The 11,067-nt window shown below is 44.6% G+C and overlaps 1 protein-coding gene across 1 annotated transcript in view, besides 1 other annotated feature; it reads left to right on the top strand.

The window, feature by feature from the left end:
• KCNK13 (potassium two pore domain channel subfamily K member 13) overlaps window positions 1-7,356 on the top strand; it is a 123,860-nt gene extending 116,504 nt beyond the window's left edge. The window contains exon 2 of the mRNA NM_022054.4: window positions 5,614-7,356. Within this exon, the coding sequence (NP_071337.2) occupies window positions 5,614-6,506 (893 nt within the window). The 3' untranslated portion in view covers window positions 6,507-7,356. The remainder of the gene's footprint in view (window positions 1-5,613) is intronic.
• Window positions 5,812-6,313: an enhancer, noted in NCBI's record as "H3K4me1 hESC enhancer chr14:90650653-90651154 (GRCh37/hg19 assembly coordinates)". NCBI's record gives its function as "activates a minimal SCP1, AML or CMV promoter by ChIP-STARR-seq in primed H9 embryonic stem cells {active_cell/tissue: H9 hESC(primed)}" and the evidence as "EXISTENCE:reporter gene assay evidence [ECO:0000049][PMID:30033119]".
• Window positions 7,357-11,067: the final 3,711 nt, after the last annotated feature.

The raw sequence follows: 11,067 nt of genomic DNA on the forward strand, positions 1-11,067 counted from the left end.
CAGGCTGGTCTTGAACTCCCGACCTCAGGTGATCCGCCCGCCTCAGCCTCCCAAAGTGCTGGGATTACAGGCATGAGCCACCACACCGGGCCTGATGTGATTATTATGCATTGTATGCCTGTCTCAAAATATCTCATGATACACCTACTCTGTACCCATAAAAATGAAAAATAAAAATAAATATATAAATAAAAACAGAAAAAAAGTGTCTGACACATATTCCCAAATTGCTTTCCAGACAGTTTATACCAATTTTTATGTCCTCGTGTAGCATTTGAGAGTTGCCTCTGCATATAAGAACACTCTTGAAATACACAATGCTTTTTTCTACCCTCAAGTATTTCTAGAAAAAAAAAACCTGATTAAAGTCTACAGGACACAACAAATCAAGGGCATACCAAATGAGAGGGGAGATTGTTAATGAATGAAAGAGGCTGAAGAGCTCTGCTAAATGTGGGTGCAGCCTGTTGGATCTTGATTCATACAAATCATCCGTAAAAAGATAATTTTGAGAAACCTGAATATGGACTGGGTATTATTTGATATTAAGGAATTAGTATTAATGTCATTAGGTATGGTAATGGCACAGTGGTTATGTTTGAAAAATAAAGGCCTTGGCAGTTAAAGATGTGTCTTTATTAATCAAAGAAATGGTATGTTATCTGGGATTAACTTTACAATACACCAGCAAATAAAGGGGATGGGTTGGGGTGGGATGGGAGAAGCATGGTTGACAGAATGTTGATAATTTGGAAAATAGGAGTTTATTATACTTTCTGCTCTGCCTTTGTGCCTGTTTGAAAAATATCATAATACAAAGCTTTTACTTTTTTTTTTTACCTTAATTGAATTTTGAAAAAAAATACGTAGTTGACAGCATATACATAAAAGGCTGGGAGACTATGGGCCTGCTCTTCATGGGCTGAGTGAAGTGTTCTGTGGGGGTGGACTGGGACCTTGGCAGTCCCTAGTAGCTTTATTCCTAGCCCCAAGGACAGCAGAGAGCCTGGGATTGGTCCCAGAATCTGCCCCAGAAATTACAAGCACATTAACAGAGGTCTGAAATGATTTAAAGGAACTAGACCAAATCAGCTGTGAGTTTCACTGGCCTCCAAGCCAATCTCATTCGCCGTTGGTTCTCGATCCACTCATCAGCTCCCAGACTCGGGCTGAACACCGATCAGATAACTTCAGGCTTGAAGCACAGGGAATATATTACGTATTGAAAGGTACCACCTGTGACTGTCAGTTTCATTTGTATACCTACAAAATATGGGGAGACTGAAATGCATGGGGCATAACAGCTTTTAAACTGATGTAATTATATCATTTGTTGGAAGAGACATATATACATTCAGAAATATGTTTTATATGTTTTGGTACATGAAAATTTTAAGGTTTTAGCTTGTGATGCCAGCCAAACCCTGCCCCCCCTCTCCGGTTTTGGTACCAGGTTTGGCAGCCACTGCGGTCTGGGTGTCTGTATAAAGCATTGAACTATGGACACTTGGCTAATTTCCTTCCCTCCGTTCTGCTCATGGCTTGTACCTTGACAGTGATGACAATGAGCTACACTCAGCCTAGTCAGGTGGAAAAAAGCACAGGCCTGGGAGACAAGATGATCTAGGTTCTGATTCTGGTTTTATGACTTTAGGCAAACCACTCAGCTTCTGTAGTTTTTTTCTCATTTGTCAAATGTAACTAGTAGACTAATAATACCCAGCTCCCCAGTGTGGGTGTGAGGAGTTGCTGACAAGCACACAGGCTGGCAGAGGAAAGGCCTTTGATAATAATCCCTGAGCCCTTTTCCTCTACCAAAAAAGGACCCTGAGGGTTATTATTCACCATCTGAGCCATCTTCAACTCTCAGCATTATGGGGCTCAAAAAAGGGGAGGGTTTCTATGGAAAAGCCTGCATTATTAGCTTACTTACACACTTTTCAGCGCTGAGAGTAGTAAAACCACCTCTCACACCTCCAACTGCAGACATGAGGAAGCTGTCTCCCTTTGCTTCCATAAATACCACCATTTGTACCATTTTCTGTTATTTTTGCTGATAGGAGAGATGGCAGTCATCCATCAAACAGTAGATAACCAAAAGTCATGATTATCCCTCCTTTAACAAAATTGAATATGTTAAAACCAAAAAAATAAGATAGAATCTAGAAATGTTAAATCTCTGGAACATGTCACTAGAAACCTCATTCACTGGAAAAATCAGCTCATCAAGTGTATCTGCTGGCATCAGCACTTCACTGTCTGTGCCTATGTCACTCATCCCAAAGTGAGGCTGCATTTGGGCCCCTAAACCCAGATAACTCCATGGTGCTTCTGTGTTGGCCTTTGACTCACTGTGGCTTGATTTTTTCTTTTTTTTTCAGACAGGGTCTCACTCTGTCACCAGGCTGGAGTGCGGTGGCGCAATCTTGGCTCACTACAACCTCCACCTCCCGGGTTCAAGTGATTCTCCTGCCACAGCCTCCCAAGTAGCTGGGACTACAGGCACATGCCACCACGCCCAGCTAATTTTTGTATTTTTAGTGGAGACAGGGTTTCACCAGGTTGGCCAGGATAGTCTTGATCTCCTGACCTCATGATCCGCCCACCTCGGCCTCCCAAACTGCTGGGATTACAGGCATGAGCCACCATGCCCAGCCCACTGTGGCTTGTTTTGTAGATAGTTAGTCTCAGCCTTGGATGCTGGGGTCAAGGACTATGTCTGTGTCATCTTCTTTGGCCATCTTAGTCCACATGGGCTGCTATAAGAAAATACTGAAGACTGGGAGGTTTATCCACAATAGAGGTTTATTTTTCATGATTCTGGAGACTGGGAAGTCCAAGATCAAGGCATCAGCAGGTTGAGTATCTTGCGAGAGCCCTGCTTCCTCATACATGGCACCTTCTTGTGTCCTCCCAGGGAGGAAGGAATGGATGAATCACCTCTTTTATAAGAGCACTAATCCCATTCATGAGAGCACCACACTCACCTCTCGCAAAGACACCACCTCCTAATACCATCACTTTATGGGTGATGGATCTCAACATATGAATTTGGGGGGCACATAAACACTCAGACCACGGCAGTGGCCCAGACATGTAGTGAGGGCCTTGAACTTAACAGGTGCTCAGTAAATTATTGCTATCACTTTGGCTGGGAGCAAATCCCTAGCAACTCCTGTAGCTCAGCTTTCTGAGAGTAGAATGACTAAATCACCTCTAAAACAGGTAAGGACTACCTGAGAATGTTCTTTTCTAATTGTCTGAAAGGACCCTCCCCCAGCCCACACATCTCTCTTCATGTTTCTGAACCTTCCCTATTTTCATTGACTTCATCCGGCTTCTAGAATAAATGGCCCCAGACAAATGTTTCCCCCTTTTTCTGCCTGTTTGCTGCATTCAGTTCCCTGTGTTTAGTAACTACAGAAGCAATACTCTCTGGTCTTGCAGCTTTGGGGTCTACATTGAGCCTCCACTGCCAAGAATTGCTGAGGGACTTTGATTTTGAAGAGTTCCCAGAGAAGAGATGATGGTCTGATTTTCTGTCTAGCATGAAGGGCCCTAAGTAATTCTCAATGGAACTATTCCCTGTCCCTCGATCCTCCCTTCCCAAATCATCCTGGCAATTCCTTTCCATCCCATCTAGCTCAAAAGCTATACTTGGTATCTTCCTCTAGTTTCCTGACTACATGCTGTTAATTTCTTACCCAAATGCAGCTCCTTGTGTGCTGAGAAAGGAAAATTGTATTTAGTTCTGAATGGTAATACAGTATGCACACCTGGATGTTTGGGAAAGGTGGCCCCTTGGCTTGACTTGAGCAGACCAGCAGGTCATAACCCCAAAAGCCCACACATTTCAAGGTCTGGTCTGAACACTTCCAGGGTGCACTGGGAGGCAGCCGTTGACCGAGCTGTAGCAACAAGGAACTATATCAGCTTGGTGACAAGTGGGGTATTATCAGGAGGGAGGATCATGAGAGAGCTCTTGTGATCCAAACGATGGGACCCAAGTTAGAAATTTGAACTTGAAAATAAGGAAAAACTGGGTTGGGTATGGTGGCTTATGCCCGTAATCCCAGTGCTTTGGGAGGCTGAGGTGGGTGGATCACTTAAGACCAGGAGTTCGAGGCCAGCCCAGGCAACAAGACAAGACCCTCATCTCTACAAAAATTTGAAAATTAGCCAGGCATAGTGTGCACAGCTGCAGTCCCAGCTACTTGGAAGGCTGAGGCAGGAGGATCACCTGAACCTGGTAGTTTTAGGCTGCAGTGAGGTGTGATTGCACCACAGTACTCCAGCCTGTGGGACAGAGAGCAAGATCCCATCTCTTTAAAAAAAAAAAAAAAGAGAGAGGTTTGATGGTTTGATTTTAATAAGAAACTGACTCAGGGAGGCATGCTCAGTATTCTTTTTATTTTTTAATGGTGTTTGTAGTCAGAGTGACTCTGATGCCAACCCCTCCACCCATCAGCCTTCTCATGTTTACTGAATCATTTGCTTGGAAAGAACCCTCATCCCTCTGATGAGAGTGGGCTGACCCTCATTGCCCTTTCATGAGAAATCCTGAATGTATCATTGCTCTCTTTTCTATTTCTGTTTTTCTTAGTAACATCCATTGTTCTACAATATGCATTCTTAATGGTATGCCTGTGTGCACAGGTAGAAAGGTCAGGAGGGTGGAAATGTGAACAGTTAGAGGCAAAGGCAAAATGAACGTTTTATAGTTTATCAATGTATAGCATCCAATACTTCTGTTATTATTCCAAAAGCATGAAGTGTGTGTTTGAAGAATTTTGTTTAAAAGATGGGTAGATCTTGAGCAAATTTCTCATTTCTATGTATGCTAGAAATGCCCATAATCCCAGTGCTTTGGGAGGCTGCTGTTTCTCTGCCTGGAACATCCCGACTTCTCCATCCCACCACCACCACACACATACACCCTTCTTGCCTGCCTAACTCCTCTTTAGCTTTTGGGTCTCCCTGCTTCATCTTTTCTAAGCCCCACTTCTTAGATGGGTTCCCCTCTTAGGAGTTCCCATAGAATCCTGTACTCCCTCTAGCACCACACTTACCACACAATATCATCATCATCTTACTGGACTAGGGCTCCATGAGGGCAGGGACCAGAACTGTCTTTTCCACAGTTCTATCCCCAGGTCAATAAGTGTTTGCAGAATAAATGAATTCTGATGAGTCTGTATAAGCCTCTTCTTTGTATGAGCCTTTGCTTCTCTCTCTAAACATGATCTGTTGAGTATGGTTGTTCAGGTTGTGGACTGTACAAGGATATCTAGCAGAGAAGGGAAAGGAGGCTGAAATCCAGCCCACATTCTTGTCACCAAGCCATTTTTTGCTGGCTGTGTCCACCATGAGGATGAGGTGCTATTCTCCTGATTTGCACAATAGCACCACACAGGCTTTCAGCAGCCTAGCTCTGAACAACACTTAGTGTCTTCAAAAGCAGGTGAGAATTCTCCTGCTCATTCCTAGAAAGACTAAGGCTGAGTGATTTTATGAAACTCTCTTTAGGTCCTTTGCCAGCCATCAAAGCCAAGACCTAGACCCCATTCACAGCAAAGATTTCTCTTACTCTTCTCTCATTTTTCTCTCCTGCAGGGTTTGGGATGACAACTCCGGCGACAGTAGGAGGAAAAATCTTTCTGATCTTTTACGGCCTTGTTGGGTGTTCCAGCACCATCTTGTTCTTCAACCTCTTCCTGGAGCGCCTGATCACCATCATCGCCTACATCATGAAGTCGTGCCACCAGCGGCAGCTCCGGAGACGAGGGGCCCTGCCCCAGGAGAGCCTGAAGGATGCGGGGCAGTGTGAGGTGGACAGCCTGGCCGGCTGGAAGCCCTCCGTGTACTACGTCATGCTGATCCTATGCACAGCCTCCATCCTCATCTCTTGCTGCGCCTCAGCCATGTACACCCCCATTGAAGGCTGGAGCTACTTTGACTCACTCTACTTCTGTTTTGTGGCTTTCAGCACCATTGGCTTTGGGGACCTGGTCAGCAGCCAGAACGCCCACTATGAGAGCCAAGGCCTCTATCGCTTTGCCAACTTCGTCTTCATCCTCATGGGTGTCTGCTGCATCTACTCCTTGTTCAATGTCATCTCTATCCTCATCAAACAGTCCTTGAACTGGATCCTGAGGAAAATGGACAGCGGGTGCTGCCCGCAATGCCAGAGAGGACTCTTGCGATCACGCAGGAACGTGGTGATGCCAGGCAGCGTCCGGAACCGCTGCAACATCTCCATAGAGACAGACGGGGTGGCAGAGAGTGACACGGACGGGCGCCGGCTCTCAGGGGAGATGATCTCCATGAAGGACTTGCTGGCAGCCAACAAGGCCTCGTTGGCCATCCTGCAGAAGCAACTGTCTGAGATGGCCAACGGCTGCCCCCACCAGACCAGCACACTGGCCCGGGACAATGAATTCTCAGGGGGGGTGGGAGCCTTTGCAATCATGAACAACAGGTTGGCAGAGACCAGTGGGGACAGGTAGAAGCCAGGAGTGGATGCTGGGCAGAGGCCAGAGTAGAATGGAGGATGATTGCCGCCCAGGGGACGAGCTCAGCCCTGCGCCTTGGCTCTGTTCCTTCTGGGAGCTGTTCCCGGGAGCCTCCGCAAGCATCTTTAGAAATCTGATCTCGGCTCCAACCAACAGCCACCTTCCAGGGATGGGGGGCCTGAAGCCTCGATGCTTGTCTCCTGATCCTTATTCTTTAAGTCTAAATTCAGTCTTTTCAAAACAAATCACAAAAGCAGCATTAGACATTGCCTTGTTTCATTAATCTTGTTTCAGAGCTTTAGCTGCCTGAGGAGATAGGTTTTCCTTAAGCCTTGATTTCCTGAAGCTCTCTCTGTTCCTTATTTGGGAACAAAAATTGCGAAGACTCATCTTTCCCTAGAACTCTGAATGGATGAATTTTTAAAAGTGGGGAGAATGTTTGGGGATGTGTCTGGGCTTTCTTTTTGCCAGGCTTCCTTCAAAGCATACCTGCCAATGGTGTCTGCATAGGGAAAATGTCTGTTGTACTCTTTATACCTGTTTCTGTTTTTTGTTGTCCCTTTCTTTTTATTTTTAAGGCCTTAATGCCTGGCTGTGGCGTCTGTGAGACCTCAATGTAATAAGAAAATTAAATTCAGCTTCAGGCCTTTAAACTGCAGCAAGATGGTGGTGTAGGGGTGTGGGACGGGGAGAGACTCACTTTTGTAACTAAAGAACATAGCTTAACATTTTCCCTTTGAATGGTCACACAGACCATTTCATTTTTACCAGGGCTTGGGGACCCAATGCAAAGATGATGACTATTTAATAAAATGGAAAATTTAATAAATCCTCATTTTATTAACTAAGATTCCATGAGTGCTCATTGTGGCCAGTGGAGGACAAGCACCTAATTAAACAGGCATTTATTGGACTCAGAGAAAAAGGAAATGGGAAATTGACCTTCACGGATATGAGCGTCATTTTGGTGTCTTGACTGGAGAAACATTCTAGGCCAGATAATGAAATCCGGCTTTTTTTCCTTTGTGCCTTCTGAGACTGTAACGATTCTAGTTTTATAACCTCCCTACTAGATTAATCATCCACACTAGGAACAAAGGCTGTTGACCTTCATATACACAGGAGAATGCATTTGGGGGGATGACAGCAGTGTTCAAAAATGATAGCTGTTGTTTTTCTAAGGTAAGAGTGGTGCAAACACAGCCCTTTCAGAATTGATGAGGAAAGGCCGGGCGCAGTGGTTCACACCTTTAATCCCAGCACTTCGGGAGGCCAAGGCAGGCAGATCACCTGAGGTCAGGAGTTCGAGACCAGCCTGGCCAACATGGGGAAACCCCCGTCTCTACTAAAAATACAGAAATTAGCCAGGCATGGTGGCATGTGCCTGTAATCCCAGCTACTCAGGAGGCTGAGGCAAGAGAATCACTTGAACCTGGAAGGTGGAGGCTGCAGTGAGCTAAGATCACGCCACTGCACTCCAGTCTGGGCAACAGAGCGAGACTCCTCTCAAGAAATGATGAGGAAAGATGGCCACCGTAAAGAAGACAAAGCTGAAAACCTATGCCTCGTGAAACTGAAATGTTGAGCAGAGAACATTAGAGCTGGTGGAGGACCCCTTAGAAACCATCTCATCCAGCCTCCTTGTTTTTGACACCAAGAAACAGGCACAGGGTTTGTCCCTTGTCTGAGGCCTTAGGGGTGGATAGTGTACAGCTGGGGAAGGAACCTAGGGCTCCTGATGGTGAAGTCCAGGCTGTTGTCCCCTACTCCACACAACCTTGCCCCGTTCCTCAACAGGTCCCTCTTCAGGCTCAGTTGCCTTTCCTTCCAGCTCGCAAACCCAGATATTTTCTTTACAGTACCAGAAGTGCCTGATAGAAGTTCGACAAGCAGCAACACTGGGCTTTGAATTTAGTGCTGCACGGCTCCAAAGTCAGAGATCTTAAAGTATTCTCTATATCACTCTTAAAGGGAAAGCATCCTGGAGCTACTGCAAAATGCTTGTTAGGAACCTGTGACCCCAAACAGAGCTTCTCATGGGCTCTGTACCGTACCAGGTGCTGTGGGGATGGAAAGAGGAGCACCTATGGGATTCCTTGATCTCCATATTTCTAGTACATGGGTTGGAGTAAAGCAAGTGGTTGCATCTCCAACACAGGTTCCTGGAGGCCCTGATGGTGTGCTGGAGGCCAAGGAACATCAGCATACCCAAGGCTCATCTTCCTAGAGGGTCAGTTGTACTAAGCAATTTTTGCAGAGAGATGTTATATCAAAACACATGACTTTCTTTAAATAAGATCCAAAATGGGCATAAACTTTTTTTTTTTTTTTTGTGGGGGGACAGGGTCTCGCTCTATTGCCCAGGCTGGAATGCAGTGGAGCAATCTTGGCTCACTGTAACCTTCGCCTCCTGGGCTCCAGCAGTCCTCCCACCTCAGCCTCCCAGGTAGTATAAGCAAGTTGTTTAGTAAAAGGAGGTGTTAAAGACATGCTAGCATCAAGCAGAGACTTTCTCTGTGATGTAACCAAAAGGACTGGAAGAGTCTTGCAAAGGCAATAAATTTCTCACTGTGTGATTAATTAATTCCACACTTGAGGGCCCCTAAAATCATCTCATGTTCTACCCAAATCATTGGTACACATCCCACATGTGGGGCAACAACATTCAAATCACAAAATACCCCAGAGAAAGCACAGTTTCTGAGGTCTGGCCAACCACATAGTGAAGAACAGTTCTTGGCGTCAACATACTTGGTTTGAACACCAGTCCTGATAGTTCCAATGTGGGAGAGGTTGGGCAAGTGTGTCAACCTCATTGTGCCCCATGTGGAAATGGTAACAACACTGGCTACCTCGCAAAGCTGTGGAGAGGGTCAAATGAGATGAGCCTCAGGGGAGGCTTTGTGAACCCCCAGGAAAGGCACAGACTGTGGGCACTGATGGGCCACATGCCGGGGCGACGGGGGGATGCTGCATCCAGCAGTGAAAGTCTTCGTTTTGTTCTTGCACCTGGTATCTAACACTAGCCACATGGTTTCAAGGATGGCTCTTGATTATTAAATGGTGCCACTCCTGGTGATACAGTTATACCAAACCACAAACTGCGAAGTATTTCTTTCTCTTCCACTGGGTCTTTTTATTTCAATATCAGCTGAGGCTATTGAACCATTTGACATAGTAAAATGTTTTGGAAAGGCTGTAGTAATATCCTGTATCTTACTAGCATTTTTACGGTTTTTAAGTCTTACCTGTTCATAATTATAATATTTTGACCTTCATAACCACATTGTAGATTTCTAGCCTAGAAGTAGGCAGGGCACTTATCTTCAAACTGCCCTTGATCTTTTCCAGAATAAGAGGGATAAATAATTATTTTATGTATGAGTTGACTGGGATTCAGATTGACAGTGGTTCTAGAATAAGCTTTGAAATTATTTACTGTGGTGTTTTACTGGTAATTTTCTATTTCCCTGATTTCTTCTGCATTTATTAATTGGAATTCTTCTGTGTGGAAGAGATTTTTCCTTCTCTATTGTTTTAAAACGTTAAAGAACTTTCTTCAACATTTCTCATAGAGTACGTTTTCTGGCAGTGAGTTCCCTCAGTTTTTGTTTGTCTGAGAAGGCCTTTGTTTCTTCTCTATTTTTGAAAGGTGTTTTTGATGGATATAGAATTTTGTATTGACAGGCATTTTGTAAAAATAAGCACTTTAATGATGTCACACCAGTGTCTTCTGACTTGTATGGTTTCATATGAGAGGTCGGCTGTAACTCCTTTCTTGTTCCTGTGAATGTAATATTCCTTTTTTCTCTGGCTGCCTTCAAGATTTTGTCTTTTGTTTTCTGCAGTTTGAATATAGTATGTCTAGATGGGTGTGTGTGTGTGTGTGTGTGTGCATATTGTAAAACCAAAGTAATAATTGCCACAAGCAAGATCCACTGATGGATGCTAAAATTAAGGGTGTAGAAGTTTAAGCCAAAAGGGATATTTGCAGTCTCAAAGGATCTCGACCAAAATAGTTGGTAATTACAAAGAGAAAAATAGTAACTTTACAGTGGAGAATTCTGGCAGATATCAAATTAATCAAGTGACCAGAGTTAACCTCGCCATTAGCACCTACCCATCATGCACCACCTGATTTGATGCATTGAGAAGGCCCAGCATCTCTGTGGAGTCCTTCACAAGAACTTCAATCTAATCACGGAAAAACACCTGACAAACCCCGAATCGAGGGGCATTCTACAAAGCAATCAATACTCTCTTCAAAAATCTCAACATAGGAGATATAAGTAAAGCCTGATGAACTGCTATAGATTGGAGGAGACTGAGGAGGCCCGATAAATGAGGCGGGGGCACCACAGGCCTTAATCATCAGCATATTCCATCTGGATTTTTTAAATGGAATCCGACAGCTCATTGACTCATTTTCTTAACATGGTGTCTGGGATTCAGTCCCAATACAGACAACTTGCATGTTGCAAAGAAAATCCACTTGATGACTGTAATTACCCAAACTTCTGACTCACCTTTTTCACTACCTTAAAACATGGCTTTT

This window comes from Homo sapiens, chromosome 14, assembly GCF_000001405.40.
Source record: "Homo sapiens chromosome 14, GRCh38.p14 Primary Assembly".
NCBI lineage: Eukaryota > Metazoa > Chordata > Mammalia > Primates > Hominidae > Homo > Homo sapiens.